The following is a 22,290-nucleotide window of genomic DNA, read 5'->3' as shown; positions in this document are numbered from 1 at the left end:
CTTCAGCCTGGGTGACAGAGCAAAACTCCCTTTCAAAAAAAAAAAAAAAAGAAAGAAAGAAAAACAATAGAAACAATACATTCAATAAATTCATTAAAAGATTTGGAAATTTAAATTGAGGGATTTTCCCAAAAAGTAAAACTAAAAGCCAAATCCATGAAAATACTTCAAAAACTACAAAAAAAATAAAAACAATTGTGCTAGAAGACTCAAGAGCTAATAATACAAACTTTAGAAAGAGACAACAACAGAAAACAGAGGGAAACAGATTCTCAAATAAATGACTTTAAAAATCAAAATTCCTACAATTGGAGGAAATAAAAATTTCTATTGAAAGGTCCCGGAGATTACACCCGGGCACATTATAATAAATTTCGGAACACCAGGGACAAAATGGATATTAGGAAGCTTTATCAAAGAAATGTTGCACTGGACGCCTGTTAAAATCTGCGAGAAAGACTTTATTCAAGATAGTTGTAGTAGGAGTCAAGACTATTGCAACTGGAGGGGAGAGACTGACCTCAATTCCACTGAAACAAAATGTAAAGAGGCTTTTTTTCTTTTCTTTTATTTATTCATTTATTCATTCAGTTTTTTTGAAGCAGAGTCTTGCTCTGTCACCCAGGCTGGGGTGCAGGAGTGCCATCATGGTTCACTGCAGCCTTGACCTCCTGGGTTCAAGTGATCCTCTCACCTCAGCCTTTCAGGTAGCTAGGACTACAGGCGTATGCCAGTGTGCCACCATGCCCAGCTTTTTTTTTTTTTTTTTTTTTTTTTTTTTTTTTTGTAGAGATGGTGTCTCAGCATGTTACCTAGGCTGGTTTGAAACTCCTGGGCTCAAGCAATCCTCCTGCCTCGGCCTCCCAAAGTACTGGGATTACAGGCGTGAGCCACCATGCCCAGCCTCTAAGGATTTCTAATTATGGGATGAGCTAATGGAAATGAACTGAAGGACTTAGTGGGAGTGGGTTTAGGTTGTGATTAGGCTATCTCTGTTTGTAAATTGACACTCATGAGTTAAACTCCTGTCTTCCCACTGTGACTGGAAGATAGAGGGGCTATCTCCTTCATAATTAAATGTCAAAGGGATGGCTCCTACCTATGTTCTTGAAAAAGGTATTTCTGAGTTTTAGAAGATTTATATCACAAATGAACAGAGAAATAATTTACAATTGCAATTTTTTTTTTTAAGACAGAGTTTTGCTCTTGTTGCCCAGGCTGGAGTGCAATGGTGCGATTTTCACTCACCACAACCTCCGCCTCCCGGGTTCAAGCGATTCTCCTGCCTCAGCCTCCCAAGTAGCTGGGATTACAGGCATGCACCACCACGCACGGCTAATTTTGTATTTTTAGTAGAGATGGGGTTTCACCGTATTGATCAGGCTGGTCTCAAACTCCTGACCTTAGGTGATCTGCCCACTTTCCGCCTCCCAAAGTGCTGGGATTACAGGTGTAAGCCATCGCGCCCAGGCAAATTGCAATTTTTCTGAAGTAAATACTCTAAGAAAAAGAAGATTAGAGGTCTATAATCAGGAATAAACCTGCCTAAAATTGAGTCAAGCTGACTGGAACATTAAAGCCTTCTTGGTCAGCTTTCAAAGTGAAAGATAAATTGGGAACTCATGTCTAGAGATCAAAATGAATGGTGATTTTTAGTGACAGCTAGAAGACAATAAAGCAACACCTTCATTCTCAGAACAAATTTATTTTTAACGTTTGATTACGTATCAAGCCACAGTATCAATAAAGTGTGATAAAGAATACAAAAATCAGACATGCAGTGTCTCAAAAAAGCTTACCATCTATAGGAATCAACTAGGTAATATGAGCCACAAGTAAAAAAATAAGAAAAGAAAAAAAAAGAAAACAGAAAAAGAGTAAGACATGGCATTTAGGAATTTGGAGCACACCAAAAAGGCAAATAAATTCCAAAATGTAACTCTGCACAAGGGAATTACCAAGGAACAAAGACTCCAGAAAATATTTTTCTGAGGAGAAACTAAAATGGAAAATATCTGAAGTATTCAAAAGGCTTTCAGGGAAGTTTTCAGTTCTGCTGAAGACTTTGGAAGTAGTGGGCAATCCATCCATGGATAGCTAAAATAATGTAATTAGGTACAACTAAACCCCAAAGAATATTAAAAGATATTTATGATAGAAATACATCTTTATATAGTACATGGATTTACTGTGAACAAAAATTACATTGTAAACACTAATATTGCTTTATTAAAAATGGCAACATAAAAAGTGGTTAAAAGAACAGATTTCTTAGTTTCCAATTAGGAAGTCATTTTATTTCTGGTAAAAAATGTTTTTAAATGTCTTTAGATTATATTACTGATGGATATGAACATAACTGCCTATGGACAACATCTGAGAATTGGAGGAAAGGATATAAGCTTATTATTTTATAACAATACAAATGTATTACTAATATTAATACTATTACTGATTATTACCAGACACAATTATTATGCTAATTATTATTACCATATATCATTAGCAGTAGTAGTGAAAACCTTATAATACTACTTGCTTTTTAAAATAGTACATATTATCTTTTAAATAAAACAATTCTAAAAATCTATCTTAAGGAAATAAGCAAACATACATGTATGCAAAGATATATTTATAAGAATCTTTATTGAAGCATGGATTTAACAGTGAATAGGAAATAATGTAAATCTCAACAGGATTGACCCATGAAAATATAATTATATATAATGGAATATGCTAAAATTATTAAAATAACATTGTAGAATAAAGTTTAATGTCATAAAAATGTTTATTATACATTGTTAAGTGACTATAAAAGAGACTGTAAAACAGCATGATTTCAATAGTAGTAGTTAACATTTGTTGACTACTTCCACTATTTCTTTTTATGTGTAAGGCACTGTATTATATGCTACACATGGATTTTTCTCATTTGTTCTCCATAATAGCCCCATGAAATAAAAAATGCTAATAAAGTTAAGAGGCTTTAAACAAGGGTATAAAGTATGTGTCATAATGCTTCTGTGCTTTTAAAAATCAATGAAATTAAAATATACAAGCATATGTGTGTATGTTTGTGTGTACACACAGACACAGGTATTAGTGGTTATCTCTGATTGAAGAGTGATAGTCATTTTATTCTTCTTGTTGATTTGTATTTTTTAATCTTCTACAAAATATATGATATGTTTGATAAGAAAAAATCAAGTAAAAGATTTTTTTCAAACATAAAATATTTATTAAGCCACTGTTGTGGGCCAGATACTGTGCTTGGTTTGGGGGAAAAATATTACAATACTGTTTCTGCCCCTTTATAAATAAAATTTATAAAATATAATTTTTTAAAAACAATTTATTGATTACCTGCACTATCATGTGGAGTTCTGAGGTTGATGATCTCATTATATGACAGTTTATAATTTTCAAATATCATAGTATATTTTCATGACAGCTGGAAGCTAGTAAACTTTTATTTAGTATGAAGAAATAAATAGGATGCAGAGTTTTTTGTAAAGCAACTCATAAACAAATTTGCAGGGTTAACTTAAAATCCTTGCTGAGATATACAATTTCAATTTCATCTTTAATCTCCTTAATTAAGTTGCTGCAATATTAAAGATATTTGAACTGTACTTAGGCACCAAAAAAGGAGACAAAACACATAACATACTTTGCTGGTTGAATGGAAAGCCTTTGAAGTTTTAGACCGTTAATGTTTGCTATTTTAAGATTTTAGTTTTCCTACTTGGTTGTCTCCTTCGTTCAACAAATACTAATTCAGCAGTTATTATGTCCCTGATACATTTTTAGTGATGGGGATAGAGCTTCGAATAATGGTAAAGTGTCTGCCACCGTGAAACTTCTGTTCTGATGAGAGGGGACAGATTGAGAAGGGAAGGCAGACATACACATACACAGGTGTGGTGTTATGAGATATATATACATATATATGTGTATATATACACATACATATACCCACATATATATATGCACATATCCCATATGTATATATACACATATCTGATACATACATATATGTGTGTGTGCGTATATATATATATATACACATATATATGAAATAACAGGTAAGCAAATTAATATAAGTAAAATTTATATATTTATATATACACATATATGTATCTATACATATATTTATGTTTATATATATACACATATATATGTATGTATCTGAGATATACAATTACAATATAGCATATACGTGGGGTTTCTCCTACAGTTCCTGGCTTATGACTCCCATAGCTCTTGTTACAATCTTTTCTTGTAACTTTGGGTATGTTAGGCCTCAGGAGCAGGCCTCAGGAAACAGAGTCTCTCTGCCCTCTTCCCCTCTTTCACCTGTCCCAAGGCACAGGTGATCTTCTTCTATCTTTCTGATTGTGGAAGTTAGGACCCTCCCCAGAGAACATTCTGCCCTGTACCCTGGGGAAAGGAATGCTGACATCATGAAGCTTCCATAAAAACCCAAGAGGACTGAGTTTGAGGAGCTTTCAGAGAGCTGAACACATGGAGGTCAACAGGACAGTGAACAAGAGCTCATCCATATGCCAGGAGGATGGCACATGCTAACTCCACATGAACAGAAGCTCCTGTGTTCCGGAAAGATAGCCCTATGTATCTTTCCATCTGGCTGCTTATTTTTATCCTTTAACATATCCTTTATAATAAGTGGATAAATGTAAATAAATGTTTCCCAGAGTCCTGTGAGCCACTCTAGAAAATTAATTGAACCCAAAAAGGAAATCATAGGAACCCTAACTTGACTCTTGTCAGTCAGAACTTCCACAGGCCTGGACTTGTGACTTAGGGGAAGAAGGAGTCAGTCCTGGGGACAGAGTCCTCAATTTGTGAGATCTGACACTGTCTTTGGATAGATACTGTCAGAATTGGAGGACACCCAGTTAGTGTGTGCTGCTCGTTGTGGGGAAACAACCCCAAACTTTTGGTCATGGGAATCTTCTGTGTTGGTGATTATTGTTACATTTGTGTGAGGATAGAGAAAAAACATGGTTTCAGAGTTTTCTTGAAAGAATAGATAGGCAAACTAATTTTATTTCTTTTCATTAGCAATAATCACTAGTGTCTTAGTCAAAAATATCCGCTAAATGTATTTTGTCTTGTATTTCATGAATTCCTTTATTGCATTAAAGCTCATCACAATCTAATTCATACCTTTGTTATTTCATAACCAGTCCTCCTACCTATTGACACCCTTGTAAATTAATCTTTTGCAGGTACCACTGGTAACTGATATTTCTACAGCAGTATTTTTCACACTACAGACATACAGCATGAAATAAATGTAGTGAAGGCAAACCAACATTTTTGTAATGAAATGGGAGAGAAAGGGAAAAGAACAGAAGAGAAAACACCAGAGTGCTAGTGACAATATTTCCCAAAATAGTTTTTCATAGGAATATATAAGTGAATAGAGTTTAATGTAAAATGTATTTGTTACTGAAGATCATGGTCACGATGTATGAAAGCCACACTACACTCCTAAATTATAATGCTTACCATGTTAACAATATTATCAATATCCTCAAAAGCACACTGTAACATATTTTCTGCTTAATTAAATATCAATTCCTGTCACTGACTTGAAGTAAACTCCTTATTGACCTGTAACCTTAGATATATTTTTCTCCTCACGTTCTCTCTCTCTTTCTCGCTCATATCTATCTAATCAAACCACATGTTGCTTCATGCTTAATCTTTATGAAGAATACTATTTTCCATATGTCCTCTGTCAAAAGGTTCTTCATTTTGCAGGATATAGTTCAAAGCCATTTCTTTAAGAAATACAGTTTTTATCCAAAGTAAGAGCTCCCATTTATCTTAATTACATAATTACTTTAGTAACATTCTTCAAAATGTGTTTTTATAGGGAAGAGGTAAATTGTTTTGTATTTCTTGCAGTGCCAGCATAATTACTTTCTTACAGTTTTTGCTCAATACACTAAATTCATTGAAGTCGAATTGAATAGAGATGCCAGATTTTTTTGAATTGAGGATCAATCACAGAAATAAACACTTGCCCAAATACAAGAATGAGAATCTGTAGGAATTTTCCTTTTATATAGCAATGAAACTTAAGAGTTCCATGTCATTTTATTGTTGGTCTGTGCCTAGCCCATAGTAAATATTCAATAAATGCCGTATCTCGATAGAATTTGCAGTGCTCAAAAAGTCTACTACCTTGAACTACTTGAATATTTCTAACTTTCTAAATGAACAATGTGTGTGGAAATAAAAAACATGGCAGAGGGCTTTTGATTCTTAGGTTGTTGTGATTATAATGTGTTTTCTGTGTCCCATTGTGTCATCAGGTGGAAAACTAACTGATTATCCTGGCTTTCCTGCAACATTCCATATTAAATTTTTTTATTATTTTTACTTTATTATTTATTTGTTTATTCATTTATTTATTTGAGACGGAGTCTTGCTCTGTCACCCAGGCTGGAGTACAGTGGCGTGATCTCGGCTCACCGCAACCTCCGCTTCCCGGGTTCAAGTGATTCTCCTGCCTCAGCCTCCTGAGTAGCTGGGATTACAGGCATGCGCCATGACGCCCAGCTAAGTTTTGTACTTTTTTATTAGAGACAGGGTTTCGCCATGTCGACGAGGCTGTTCTCTAACTCCTGACCTCAGGTGATCCACCTTCCTCAGCCTCCCAAAGTGTTGGGATTGCAGGCATGAGCCACCGCGCCCGGCCTATTTTTTTTTCTTTTTTCTTTTTTCTTTTTTTTTTTTTTTTGAGACAGAGTCTCGCTCTGTAGCCCAGGCTGGAGTGCAGTGGCATGATCTCTGTTCACTGCAACCTCCACCTCCTGGGTTCAAGTGATTCTCCTGCCTCAGCCTTCTGAGTAGCTGGGAGTACAGGCAAGCGCCACCACTTCCATCTAATTTTTGTATTTTTAGTAGAGACGGGGTTTCATCATGTTGGCCAGGCTGGTCTCAAACTCCTGACCTCAAGTGATTCACTCACCTTAGCTCTCAAAGTACTGGGATTACAGGCATGAGCCACTGTGCCTGGCCTAAATTATTGTTTTTAAAATTTTTGGTTTACTAACTACAAAATGAATTTCTGTAAATAGAGAAAAATAGGTAAACTTGAATGATTCTAAACAATATTTGTTTACTTTATTCATTTTTGAATTAATCATAGTGGAAAATGTGAATGAATGATAACCAGAAATTTTAATATTTATTTTCCACATCTTTCTGCAGCTTTTTTTACAAGTGGGATTGCTAACTGTGTTGTACTAGAAACCACATTCCACAAAGTGTTGTTACACTTTAACGATGGTAACACATGCCCAAGCAGAAGCATGTAAAAACAATGGCACTAAGTATATTAAGCACAGTTAAAAGTTTGGCATATATGACCACACCACAGCAGATGTGTAGCATAAAACAACACAGAATTAGCTCTCAACAATTCATTTTAATGCCAAGAGATTGACACAGGATTTTTCTCAGTCACTTTGCCACCTGAGGACCTCTGCGGCTGGTGACGTTCCTGCCTAGACCCTTGCTTGGTCCTGGGCCTGCTGCAGGAGGCGTCCCGTCCACTCAGCTCACTAAGCCATATCTGGCTTTCACACTGGCCCAGATGCTGTGGCCGCAGCAACTGTGCACTCAGCCCCTGGTGGATGGGGGTGTGTGAGTGAGCAGGTGCAGGGTCCAGCCAGCCATTCAGGCATTGGCACAGAATCAGGCTCTATACGGGGCTTGCAGCTGGACAAGGCATATCACAAGCCACTCCCGTGGTGGACTCCAGCCTCTAGACAAGGCAACATGGTGGCACCCAGACAGGGGTCCCCATGATCCCGAAGCCCCAGAGGGGATATTACAGTGTGCTAATTAGCTCTTTTAGTCCTGCCTTCGGTGACAAGTTAACAGCTCTGCCAGCCTCTGCCTCATTCTGGCCCATGGCTCCAGGGCTGGCTGGACCCCACCGCTGCTTCTCATTGCATGGGGTGGCTGCCCTCCACTGGTGGCAGGCAGAGGGCCACAGTTGTTACAGCTTTTGGTGTACCCACATTCAGTTGGTCCCAAGTTCTCATTCCACATCCAAGAAGAATGAGATCGCACTGACAATTGAAGAGTGAGGAGGGTGGAGAATAATTTTATTGGGCAACAAAACAGCTCTCAGCAGAGAGGAGACGTGAAGGTGGTCTCGCAGGGTGGATTCTCTCCCAGTGTGGCTGGGTCCAGGGATTGTAAGGGCTCAGAATGGGGGAGTGCTTGCTGATTGGTTTGTGAGTATAGGGAAAAGACTAGAACAAAGGCACCTCTCAAAGGTGGGCACAACAGTGTGAAAAACCAACTAGGGAAGAATAGGCTATATGTAAAATAGGTGAAGGGTGGGGATTAATCAGAGGAAAGTGTGCCAAACGGGAAGACAGGTTCTCAGTCTGCTCTGTGGATTTGACTTGCAGTTGGCTTTCAGGCTTTCAACTGTCTTTGGCTTCAAGGTAGGGTTTCACTGGGGACCCGGCCCCTGTCTGCCTAGGATCTGCCTGCCTTCTGCCACTATCAAGATTAGCTGCTTGTTCTGTCTTACAATCCTCACACAGAAATATTAAGGCCTGCTAAAACAGAGCAGTTATATTTTTGGTATCCTGGATCAGAAATAATGGTAAACTAGAAATCTCTCCCTGTCAAATACGCTCAAATGCCCTCACTTAGTTACATTACCAGTCATGATGTGAGAAAGGACTACAGGAAAGTTTTCAGTTTAACAGTGGGGAATTTTGATATTATAAGTGATTAAGTTAATTAAAAATGAAAAGCAATGCTCCAAAGTTATGTGATTCTAATGCAGTATAATGTGTGAAATATGATTAAGTAGAAAAGGATACACATTATTAATTGATGCAAAGGTAGATTATGAGTGAACATATAATGAAGCATTAACAAGCATGAGAAGGGACTCTGAATACCTAAACAAATGTCATAATTATCGATAACTCTTTCCATGCTAAAATACCGCTGATTCAACTGACTCCTTATATTTTTATAAGTCTTGGGAAACTGAGGAGTCCAGTTTTGTCTATTTCATTAGGTTGAGCAGTAGGACAGAGAATATTTTACTGCTATTTTAGGGAAAAAAACATTTTGAGTCAAAGGTGATGACATAGAGAATACTGCTGACTAACCCTCTAATTCAAAAATAAGTGGTCAAGTGTAGAATTGAATAGGATGTGGTTAATGGATTGAAGGAGTAGGATAGGTGGTAAACAAGATGAAAAACAAAATGAAAATGTTGAACCACACAGAATTTTGCACCTTAATGCTTTCTCAATTTTCTTGTTTAGGAAAGTATGGATGAAAATAAAGTATTTAAATTAGGGCAATTATTTTATTGGGAGCTAATGTCCTCACTGAATATAATAGTAGATGTATTCTGCTGAAATTATGAAAGTAGATAAGTTCTGCTGCACAAAAAGACAGGATTAAAATATTAATTGATCTTTTTAATAATTACAATTATTTTAGATAATAAAAATAATAAAATTAAAATAAAATGTGTTCATAAAATTAATAACACTACATATTCAATAAGATCCTAAATATTTATTATAAATACTATAAAGTAATACACAAATATATTTAAGGTGGCAATTGGAAATTTTTATTTCACTTGTACTGCTTTCTTTATTTTTCAAATTTTTAAATAATAATTATGCATCCCTTTTACAATATGAAGAAAGCGAACAATATGTAAGAGGAATCTGTAAAAGTGATTCAGTCATCAATGTTGTGGAAATTTTCTGGCTTTGCTTATTCTGCTTTTGTTTCCTTTTTCTGAAATGTCAAGACAATATGTAGATATTTCTGGTAACTTTTTTATTATTTCATAGGCCAGTCAACTAGGAAACACATGTATAGTAATCGTTCTCTACTTTGTGCAGAACAGTGATGTGTTTTCTATTTTGTGGGGAACAATTTAATTTTAGGCTTAAAGCGAGAGTAAGAATTCAAATGCAACTGATATTCAGATGTGAATAGTACTATAATAGCTTTAAGCTGTGGCATAATTTTCGGGTCATGCTTGTGAGCCCCTACCTTTTGTGTAGTGGGAAAATATAACTTTATTCTCTTCTGTTCACTTTAAAATGCTTCAATCATTATGTTCTCTTTAAGTTACTCTGTTTTTTCCAGGGTGAGTCAGATAAGAGAATTGGTAACTCCCCACCCCCCGGGCTCTTTCACATCCACTCCCCACATGTCATTCTGCTGAACCAGGTTGAGGTGGGGCTATGAGATCATGTGGCTCCTTGGTCTCTTCTACCCTTTTCACCCATATATCTGTTCTTTGGTCACTGCTTTCCTCTTTGGCCTTTATGTCCAAGTTACCTCATGGTAGAATTTAAGATCTAATCTTGTTTCCTCTGACCGGCTAGTGGGAGAATCTCAAGTGTACGGCTTCCTTTTTTGCAACCATGCTGCTCCACCAGGTTGTGTGGGAAATGGCTGCTTGCTTGAATCCTCGGCTGATGGAAGGATGGCTTAAAATTAGATCTTCCTTTAGTGCTGTCTGCCCCTGGAATGCTTAAACATATATGAATGTTTTTAAAGATCATCTTCATTGATGTGTTATTCAGAACACGTTAATATTTTCCAATATATCACCCCATTTCACAAGTAGTGTTGACATTACTATTAAGCATAAACATGAAGTGCCTATGAGACTAAAATGAATAATACTGTTTGCATTTGGAAGATACAAAACCTCTAGTGCTGTGCTTGATCTTGAAGGAAAATATTTGGTTGATGCAAATGTAATGGTTTTTGCCATGGTGCAGTTAACGTTTGCACCAGCCTAATACATCTGGATTCTGCTTTCACTTGGCTGTATAAATACTTTCTGCATCAGCCTCCCTACAAGAAGCATTTCTGTTTAACTCACTAAAAATATTATTTGAAACATGTGAACACAAAGGAGAAGATAGCAACGTCTTTTGAAGGTATAATTTCAAAGGTACCCAGTGAAATTTTATTTCTTCTAGCTGTGATTATTGCTTTGAAATTTAAAATAACAGATCATGAATTTCCCACTTTATATTCCTGAATTCACATTTACATCAGATTAGGTCAGTTTGTGTCTTCCTGAATAGCCACATGGCAACATTTTACTAGGTACACAAACCTTATTCTCTCATTGTTATTCTTTGGCTAGACTCTTGATGTTCATTGCAACACACATGATTGCCACAGCTCTCTGGGTTTTTTTCTGACTCTAATTTTGCTGTTCTTCATGACTCATTATCTAGCAGTCACCACAACAATAAGAGTTATTGAACATTCACTCTATGCAAAACCATGTCCTATACAATGAACAGTAGAGGATTACAAGAGAATAAAATACTTGCTCTCTGCTGTCAATGACATTGCAATCTAATGGGGTTTAAAAATCTCTAGTGTCTAGTGTTCAGCCTGGTGCCATATCAGTTTCTATTTTATATCAAACATATCAGAAAATCACTAAAACACATTTTACTACAGAGTAAAATTTGCTTTAAAGAAGGTCAATTTTTGGCATCATTCTTGGTTATTGAGTCCGAAAGATGTTCTTAAAACTTTCATGGATATTGAGGATAATGCTATATAATAATAATTTTAATGTATTTAAATAGCATTTTACATTTAAAAACACGTTTACAAGTATATGCTTTATATAATGCTCTATATGTTAAAAGTATATAATATATACAAACATAGACACTTTATTCTCACAGCAAAATAGTTGATGCTATAGTAGTTTTATGTTGAGAAAATCTAAGCTCATGGTAGAACTATGTTACTGTGTAATGGAAATAATGTTGGATATATAATTAGAATTTATACCTAGTACCTTTTGTTCCCGTTGTTGGCTTTTTCAGATTACTCCTTTATTAGTGATGCTTTCATTTAAGAGGATTGAAGTAAAAAACTAAAGAATTGGTGACCTACCAAGTAGCTATGTATGTCTCTTATGTGGGAGTTTTTTATTTAGGATATTGTAACTATCACACTTCTATGTACTGTGATCTGAACCAGACTTAATGTGAAAATATTTATTGAGTGTCTACTCTGTGCCAAGCACTATTCTTACTTTGAGATGTCAGATTATTGAAGTTTTCTCGTTAAGTGGAAAAGGAAGACAAACACACAATTATATATATAGTGTACATAAGGTTATATACACATATATAACCTTATATATAATATATAATTATATATAATCATATTATATATAATCATATGTGTGTGTATATGTACATATATACACACACATACCCACACATACATTATATGCAATTTTACATATATATGTAAAATACATATACTAAATTACATATAATTTCAATAATTGCATATAAATTTATATAATTACATATAAATTCAATAAATTACATATATATGTGTAAAATCCCTAGTGTTTTGAGAGTCACAAACCTCACATGCCAGGTTTTATGAGAGTGTAGAAGGATATTCAAAATAGCCAAATTGTTCAGAAAAGACTTTCCTTTAAAAGGGTCCTAGATTGACAGCTATACATTGAATAGAATTTAACAAGCCCAATGAGGAACAAGAGCATATCAGGCAGACGTAACAGCATGTAGGGGATGGAGAGACATGATGAGTGGTGAAGCTGGGAAGTATGCAGAAGTCTGCCTATATGGCATTGTAGGATTTTGGCCAATATCCGTAAATCCTTTATCCTGCAAGGTCTTGAAGATAGAAACCTTTATCCTAGGGATATTTATAATCAAGATCTTAAAATTAATATGTCAATCAGCATATTGGAATTGCAAATAGACAACTAGGAAAGGCTTACTGAAATTTATTATTGGAAATATTATATACGTTTTTAGCCAGCACTAGAGATTAGCAATTGGCACCTTCAATTTCAGCTGGGACTAGAAGAAAGGGTTTTAGGCAAAAAGTGGGGCTTGAGATAGATTTCTTTGTGAATAATCAATTGTTGAACAGAGGAGGGTAAGACAGGGCCTTCCACTCAGGACAGACAACAACCTTTACTCAAAGATTATTTTTGCTGAGACATTTATGGAAAGTCAGGTTGCTTCAATCAAAGAATGAGCTGGCATAGACTAGTAAAAAAACTCTTAAATTTAGGGGTAGGAATACAAACCTAGCTTCATTACTATTGCGGAATTATGTTAAGTTTTATAAGTGAACAGTCATCAAGAAAATGCGTTAAGAAAATCAGTCTGTGAAAATTTACAGAATGAAATGTAGTAGAAAGAATAACACAGATTTGTACTATGTTGACAGCAATAGGAAAGGAAAGTGAAGGGTAATTTCAAAACTTACTACAAAGTATGACTTTATAATATTTCACAAATTTGCCTACATTCTTAATCTTTACCAATTGCCTCTACAGATACATTTATTTGTAAAACTTTTAAGTACTGTTGAAAAGTCACAAAGCCTAAAAGGCTATGCTTATCAACCCATAAATAAAAAAATATACTACATTTACTATGCAGAGCTTCATTATTATCAAAATAAAATGTAATGATTAGGCTAGAGAGTTCATAAACACACTCATGCGCCACGTAATGATGTTTTGATCAATAGTGACTACTATTTATGATGGTGGTCCCATAAGATTATAATATTGTGTTGTTACTGTACCTTATCTATGTTTAGACATGTTTCGATACACAAATACTTACAATTGTGTTACAATTGCCTAGAGTATTTAGCCCAGTAACATGCTATACAGGTTTATAGCCTAGGGTAATAGGCTATACCATACAGCCTACAGGTGGGTAGAAGCCTATACCATCTAGGTTGGTGTAAGTACACCCTATGATGTTTGCACAATGATGAAATTGCCTAACAACACATTTCTCAGAACATATCCCTGTTGTTAAACAACACATGACGGTATCTAAGTAATACAAAGTTAAAATTTGAATTTTAAAATAGAACTTATTGTGGTGTAATTTTAACTTCTATTCTTATGTGACGATGCTCCAATCACTTGTGGGGAAAGTTAGAAATAAACCATAATCCTAAATCTAACTAGCTGTACTAAAAATGTAGGAAGCCAATTTATATAATTCCTATTCGAAACAATAATTCCTCCTAAAAATGTAATATCACAAAGATTATAATGATGAGTAAATATTAAATCCTTGAACAGAAAACTAAAAAAAACTGTAGCTATTAGAATGTCTTTAGTATCTTGGTACGTGAAGAGAATTAATACAAAACATAGACTTGCAAAATTTGTGGGTTTTTTTTTTTTGAGAAGGAGTATCACTCTATTATCCTGGCTGGAGTGCAGCGGCATGGTCTCGGCTTACTGCAACCTCCGCCTCCCGAGTTCAAGCGATTCTCCCGCCTCAGCCTGTACCTGAGACTACAGGCACCTGCCATCACATCCAACTAATTTTTGTATTTTTAGTAGAGACGGGGTTTCATTATGTTGGCCAGGCTGGACTCGAATTCCTGATCTCCTGATCTGCCTAGCTCAGCCTCCCAAAGTGCTGGGATTACAGGTGTGAGCCACCGTACCTGGCCATATATGGTATATTTTATACTATGGAAAACAAAAACAAAGGACGATTAAATCTAATTTTCTTAACCATTCAGTGTATTGTACATTATTCGTAACTGTTTTATTAAATCTTTGGCATTTCCTGTGTAGAGTATTTTAAAAAGTTAAATTGTACAAAATACATTGTATCTGTTACTTACACATAAATAATTGTAAAAATTCAACAAAAGTATACATTTACATCAAGATTCGGAATTTTATTTAGGAAACAAACCATGCTGTCTTTTTTAAAGAATTATAGTTTTTATTTAATATGGAATTATAGACTTTATTCAATTGATAAAAATGTGATCTTAGCTAATTAGAACATAACATGTAGAGCTGTATGTAGACATGGGCTATTTCCTAAGCCTTGAAGGACTTAAAATTAGCTTAACAACATGCTGACAAGAATCTCCAATTATTTAATATCAAATCTTTATAATTCAAAAAACCATCATTGCTCTAGTAGCCTGAAGCTCTTACTCACTGGCATTCAATCTTGAAAAGATAAAGGGTGTCCAGTTGAGTTATTCCTTGGTTTAACAATTTCTGTAGCATTTTAGAATGCCCTCTGATCATTATAGTTCATATCCTTGCAGAGATCAAAATCTATCCAGAGAACACCTTTGCAGTTCTCTTCTTCCCATGGGGTAGTTTCAAACGGCTTGTCTTTAGGCTTGAAGTGTTTTTTCCCCCTAACATTAAGAAATAATTTCTTTTAGAAGCAAGAAAAATGAGTTCACTTTTAGTAGCAATCTTTTATTCTCTAACACACTGACAAGTTATGACCATTATTCGTTTTTTCAGGAGGAGATACTCTTGAAGATTGTATTTATTATTCATATATATTTTTTCAAATGCTGGAGTGACATTTTAATTTATTGACTCTGAAATCCTGGGTATCAAGCTACAAAGTAATTTTTTTCTGATGTTATTAGGAACTTAACCCTTTCTTTGTACTGTACAACTACTTTCCTGACATGTTAGAAAAAATATCCTATAAAAATAAAACACCTTACATTATTTTATTATGACACAAAGATATAGATAACTTTATAAAGGAAAAAACGAGTATGTGTAAAAGGGGCATATGTATTTGATAATCCTTAAAGAAAATTCAATCAGTTAAACTCTCATTAAACTGCAGTCAGGACACTGGGTTTTTCTAGATTAATCTAGTCTCCTTTTTATCATGTAATATAGCTATCTCATTACCTATGTGTTCTACTTTTAGATAGGAGTAAATTAGCATTATGTTGTTATTACCTAGGATCAAACTATTTTAAATATTATTTCATTAGCTATTAGATTAAACCGAAATCTGTCTATTAGGAAGTTGTTGGTAGACTTAACAATTATTTCATCAATACATTTTACTTCAAATTTGCATGCCTTAACTAGGCTTCTAAATATAATCTGTAAGAATTATTTAGATGTGTATTTTCCTATCATTAATCATAATTACATCTTCTATTTTGATAAGCATGAACCATATTTACATGGTTTATGTGAGACATGATCAGCTTATACATAAGTCTTCTCAGTGGCATTGTCACAGGATGCTTAGGGTGTTGCTTCACCAGCCAGAAACTTCTGTGTCTGGTGGCACCTTCTGCCTGAGTATTGCTCGTGTCCACTGGACTCATTCCACACACTTGGCCAGGAAGGCTGCACTCAGCTCACACTACTGGCCTGGATCCCACACCTGTCAAAGGTGAGCCAGGTGCGAAGTGGTGAAGGGTGTGTGGGCGAGCAAGAGTGGGGTCCAGCCACTGCTTACAGCCAGACACGCTGGCTGTGACAGGGTGGGCAGCTTCAGGCACTGGCACAGGTGCTGACTCCCTGTGAAGCTGTGGCTAAATCAGATATAGCGCACATGGCTTCCACTGTGGGCATCCGCCTGTGGATGAGTGAACACAGTGGTGCCTGGAAGCTTGGAGATGCCAGGAACTGCAGAGCCCCAAAGAGGTTGTCACAGCCCTGACTCAAGGAGTCCCTAGGTCTGGGATCCCGGAAGGGCCACAACAATTCTCTTCTTCTCTGGGCTCCCAGAGGGGCCACAGCTCTTCTCTTCTGGTTGACTGCTAGGTGGCGAGCAGGGTCGAAGGCAGGGCATGTGTTTCAGCCCTGTTTGTGTTACAGCTCTTTCAGTCCCACCATTTGACAGGTCCCGAGATCTTGTCCTACATCCAGGAAGAATCTCCTATGTGGACAACTGGAGGGTAAACAAGGAGGAGAGGAGCTTCGTCGAGTGACAACAGCTTTCAGGACCCCTGCAGTGGGTAGCTCCTTCCTGCAGCTGGTAGTCCTGATGTCAGTCCTGACATCAGTTCTGGGTTATTATGGGCTCAGAAGGAAAGAAGTGCGTGCTGATCGGTTTGTGGGCAACTGTGGGCAGGCCCAGAAGAAGCATCATACCTTCTCACTGTGAGCCGCAGACTCCACCAAGAACTGGCAGCTTGAACCCCAGGCTTCAGGCCATCCCTGGCTTGAAGATGGGGTTTCACCGGGGACCCGCCCATTTCCACCCAGGAGCCTGTCTGCCTCCTGCCGCCATCAACATGCCATCCATCGCAGGCCCAGGTTGTTTGTGTCAAGGGGCGCCTGCACTGAGCCTCCCTAAGCCTCGCCTTGGCCTCCCTCCCATGCTCGTCAGTACCCAAAGTCTGGAGGGGGCCATGGTGACCGGGGGCTGGCATGTCAGTGTCGCCCCGAGGCCGCGCACACCCGACTGGGTTGCAAGAGCACCCGGCCGTGGACACAACTTTGCTCTGCCCTAGAGCAGGCAGAGGCCAGGGAACTAGAGCAGGCATTTCCAAGCCTGCGGGGGAAGAGGGGCTTCCCGGGCTCCCAAGAGCACAGGAATGCCTGGGTCTGGAGCCTCAGCTGGTCAGCTACAGCTGCGCCCAGGAGTGTGGGGCTCCTGCCTCACCAACTCGATAAGAGGCGGGGTTCCCACCTGTTCCCGGCTCCCACAGTCTCCAAGGAACCTGTCCTGGCTACACCTTCCCTACTGCAGCATCTTCGCAGTGGCCACTGCAGACAGGCTGCTGCGGCCATTAACATTAAGTTAGAAACAAATCATTGATATGAACACTTTCCAAGAGTCCACAATGTGTTCGTTTTGGTTTTTCCTAGGAGACTATGTGCCCTCACACGTTCTTAGTTAAGAGTATCTTATGCTAATCTGAAATAGAAAGCAAGATAGGCCAAATTTGGGGGTTCATAAAAAGTATTTACATAAAAGTTGGCAATAATTATTAATAGCATGTTTCAATATATTGAATACACTAGAGTAATATTTGGGTAAAGTTGTATCAGTGTCTATGCCTAATTCAAAAGTGGGGATCTACCTACCATCACTGGGTTGATAATTTTTAATGAAAAACTTGCAGATAAAGAAAATGCCAAAAAAAAAATGGGTGACAGAAAAATAGCCAATGGATTTTTACTTATTCTCATTGCCTCTGTTCGTTTGTTTGTTTTTATATAATGAGCTAAAGAAAGTAATTGAGAACAGAGCTGGGAGATTGAGAGAATAAAAAAATCTTAGAGATTTTACCAAGTCATAAATAAGATTATCAGTGATATTTCCTCGTATCTTATTGTCAATAAAATTCTAAATGGCACACTAATAGAAAATAAATTTGCATCTGTTTAAAAAATGACTTAAACATTATATTGTTTAAAAGAAATAAATCCATTTCAGTTATAAAAAGACCCATTTAGTGTTATTGAGAATCCTCTAATAGACCCTTCATTTAAGAGTAGAGAATCCCTCCTCAAATGTAAATTTTTCTTAGACAGAAGTTGGGAGGAGTATTTTTAAAAAGTAGAAATAGAGTCCACCATTCAGAAGACAGAAACTCTGGATAACTTAATTTTTCTGATGAAGTAACTGACATAGAATAGAAAATGATTTAAGCCTCTTAGAGTGTATTCTATTCCTAAAAAGACAAAGTAAATTTTAAAGATCTTATTGAAGCATTAATGGAATGGAGATGTCCTAGTAATTTTATAGCAAGAAGTTTTAATTATTTAAAAGACATGCTTGAAACCTTTCAACAATCCCCATTTTACTCAGAGCAAATGCCAAAGTACATCCAAAGGCCTACGGAGCCTTATACAATTTGGGCCCTGTCACTTCTAAGACTACATCTTCTAGGATTTGTCCCTTCAAGTCATGTGACTTCAAGCCCACATGGTCTTCTTGTTATTGAATATACCCAACCTGCTGCTGTGTAGGCCTTTTATTTTGTTCATTCAGACTGCCTTAAATATTTTTTCTACAACCATTCCCTTGGCTCATTCCCTATATCCTTTAAGTCTTTGCACAAATCACTGAGGCCTGCCCTGACACAATCCATCCCCTCACCTTCATAGGAGTCTGTATTTCTTTACTACATGCGCCATCTTATAACATATAATGTGCACTTCATATTCATTATGTTTTTGTGTTATACTCTGCTGTGTTAAAGCATTGTTTACTATCTGACTTATCTGATTATGTGTCAGCTCTATGAAGGCAGGGCTTTGTGCCTTTATGTTAATAATAATAATGTTATTATTTATTATTATTATTTAGAGATAAGGTGTTGCTCTGTCACCCTGGCACTCTGGCACAGTGGCATGATCGTAGCTCACTGCAGCCTCGAACTCCTGGGCTCAAGTAATCTTCCCACCCAGGCCTCCAAAGTAGGACTACAAATGTGTGCCACCACATCCAACTATTTTTAAATTTTTAAAATGTTTAATATTTATTTTTTTAAAATTTTTTGTAGAGACGAGGCCTCACTCTGTTGCCCAGGCTGTTCTTGAACTCCTGGGGTCAAGTGATCCTCTCAAAGTGTAGAGATTACAGCCATGTGCCACTGTGCCTGGCCTGCCTTTTATCATTTTTAACTGCTATATCCCAAGCACTTAAAGCAGTGCCCAGCACATAGTAGGTACTTCATAGATATTTGCTGACTGAGTAAATTATAACACAAAGTATGTATTTAAAAGAGAGTCTCACAATGATTTCAAATGAAGGTTTAGCAGTCTTCTGATTCCAATGGAGTGGTTTTGTCCTTCCTTAGGAGAACTGATAATTCTGTCCTCCTTCACACTTTGGCACACCACAAAAAAGGCAGTGAATAGAGTGATCTTCCTATGGACTTTCATGATGACCTCTACTTCTGCCTCGCCTAGTTACTGAACACCCCAAGAATGTTCACTAAAAGGCAAAGCTTAATCCACCCACTTAAGATACCTTTGAACTTGTCATTCTGACCTTATTTCAAGTCAGGTCCAGACTCCTTGATTTAACACTTCAGGCCAAGATGGAGTTTTCAATATTTTCTTTCACCAGAATTATGGCCTATTCTCTCTGTCCTGGATGAAGTAGAATCTCTATTGCCTTCTCAGTGTTTTATAAAATGCCTAAAAAACAAATAAATTAGTGGACACACAAAGAAAATCTGATCCCAGAGTACACTTTCATGTCCTGCTGACTTTCTCCTCTCTTTTCTCTTGGGAAAGCCAAGAAATCCATACATTTCTGAGACACAGCTTTTCCACTAAGCAATAAACATCAGTTGCAGGAGAGACTGAAATGAAAAACCTAATTTTTTTTATCAAAGCACACATTTATTGATGCCAAGTTAATGTATGGTAACTATTTTGCGCACATATACTTAATAATTGAATGTGTAACTGTTCCACACACAAACATTCAATGGAAGAACAAGTTGAAAAGAGCTTACAAGCAATATTAGAAATCTACCAGCTGTTTCACTGGTAAAGAGCCCCTTTATACCTTACATTTTTATTTTACAGTTCAACATTTACACATGTGTTTTCGTATAAGTTTATTATTTCAGACAAAACAAACAAGTGGGAACTTTTCTTTTTCCAAAAGTAGAGAAAGAGAGTGATAATCATCCTTGAAACAAGATCTGTTTTTAAAGTCTGTGATATGTTCCCTTTACCTTGTCGTACCCACACAGGCACTATAAACTTCATTTATGGATCCAATTCTGTCTGCTTGTATTACAAGAAAGTATGAATAGAAAATAAGGCAGCAAATGGTGGATTTTTTCTCCTTGTGGAGCTTCAGAGTGTAGTTAGTAGTAAGAATAATCTGAGTTGATAGGAATGATATGGCAGAGTATTCCTAACGTGTCCAGTTTTTCAAGCATAAATGGTCTTTTAGACATTCTATCACTTTTAAAACATTTCCTTTGACGCTGCAGCTCCATATGTAAGAATCTATTCTAAATCCATTTATGGAACACATAGACATACACACAAAAACAGACACACACACACACACACATATTCATTAGGTATTAGCTTTTCTATTAGTTTTTCTATTTAGTTCTCTGTTCCTCATGTAAAAGTCAATATAAGAGAGAGGAGTTTCTGATGCATTCTCTGAACCAAATGTAAACATACTCACTGTGCTGCTCTGGTAGGTAGGGATATTTAATATGCCTCTAGCCCTCAGAGAATAAGAAATCTCCTGAGATGCTGATATGGCTTTGCAGTGTCCCCACCCAAATCTCATCTTGAATAGTAACTCCCACAATTCTCACGTGTAGTGGAAGGAACCCGATGGGAGGGGATTGGATTATGGGGGTGGGACTTTCCTGCACTGTTCTTGTGATAGTGAATGATTCTCATGAGAACTGATGGTTTTAAAAATGGGACTTTCCCTGCACAAGCTCTCTCTTGCCTACCACCATCCATGAAAGATGTGACTTGCTCCTCCTTGCCTTCTGCCATGATTGTGAGGCTTCCTCAGCTACGGGGAACTGTAAGTCCATTAAACATCAAGTTCTTCCCAGTCTGAAGTACATCTTTATCAGCAGCATGAAAACAGACTAATACAGTAAATTGGTACCAGTAGAGTGAGGCTTTGCTGAAAAGATACCCAGAAATGTGGAAGCGACTTTGGAACTGGGTAATAGGCAGAAGTTTGAATAGTTTGGAGGGCTCAGAAGAAGACAGGAAGATGTGGGAGAGTTTGGAACTCCCTAGAGACTTTTTGAATGGCTTTGACCAAAATGCTGACAATGATATGGACAATGACATCCAGGTTAAGGTGGTCTCAGATGGAGATGAGAAAGTTGTTGGGAACTGGAGCAAAGGTGACCCTTGTTATGCTTTAACAAAGAGATTGGTGACATTTTGCCCCTGCCCTAGAGATTTGTGGATTCTTTAACTTGAGAGAGATAATTTAGGATATCTGGTAGAAGAAATTTCTAAGTAGCAAAGCATTCAAGATGTGACTTGGGTACTGTTAAAAACATTCAGTTTTATAAGGGAAGCAGAGCATAAAAGTTAAGAAAATTTGCAGCCTGACAATGCAATAGAAAAGAAAATCCCATTTTCTGAAGAAATTCAAACTGGCTGCAGAAATTTGCATAAGTAATGATGAGCTGGATGTTAATCCCCAAGACAATTGAAAAAATGTCTTCAGGGCAATTCAGAGGTCTTCATGGCAGCCCCTCCAATCACAGACCCAGAGGCCTAGGAGGAAAAAATGGTTTTGTGGGCCAGGCCCAGGGTCCCCATGCTGTGTGCAGTCTAGGAACTTGCTGCCCTGCATCCCAGCTTCTCTAGCCATGACTAAAAGGGGCCAAGGTACAGGTCAGGCAGTGGCTTCAGAAGGCGCAAGCCCCAGACCTTAGTAGCTTCCACATGGTGTTGAGCCTGCAGGTGTACAG

The 22,290-nt window shown here is 37.1% G+C and overlaps 2 long non-coding RNA genes across 2 annotated transcripts in view; one reads left to right on the top strand and one right to left on the bottom strand.

The window, feature by feature from the left end:
- Window positions 1–22,290, top strand: part of LOC105372047 (uncharacterized) — a 61,121-nt gene that overhangs the window by 16,849 nt on the left and 21,982 nt on the right. The window lies entirely within an intron of this gene.
- The window catches only part of LOC105372046 (uncharacterized), a 32,680-nt gene continuing 30,327 nt past the window's right edge, over window positions 19,938–22,290 (bottom strand). The window contains exon 3 of the long non-coding RNA XR_001753387.2: window positions 19,938–20,002. This is a non-coding gene — a long non-coding RNA (uncharacterized LOC105372046). The remainder of the gene's footprint in view (window positions 20,003–22,290) is intronic.

Source organism: Homo sapiens, chromosome 18, assembly GCF_000001405.40.
Source record: "Homo sapiens chromosome 18, GRCh38.p14 Primary Assembly".
In the NCBI taxonomy this organism is placed as follows: domain Eukaryota; kingdom Metazoa; phylum Chordata; class Mammalia; order Primates; family Hominidae; genus Homo; species Homo sapiens.
Note: the sequence above shows the minus strand (reverse complement) of the source record. Positions and strands in the feature narration are given on the sequence as shown.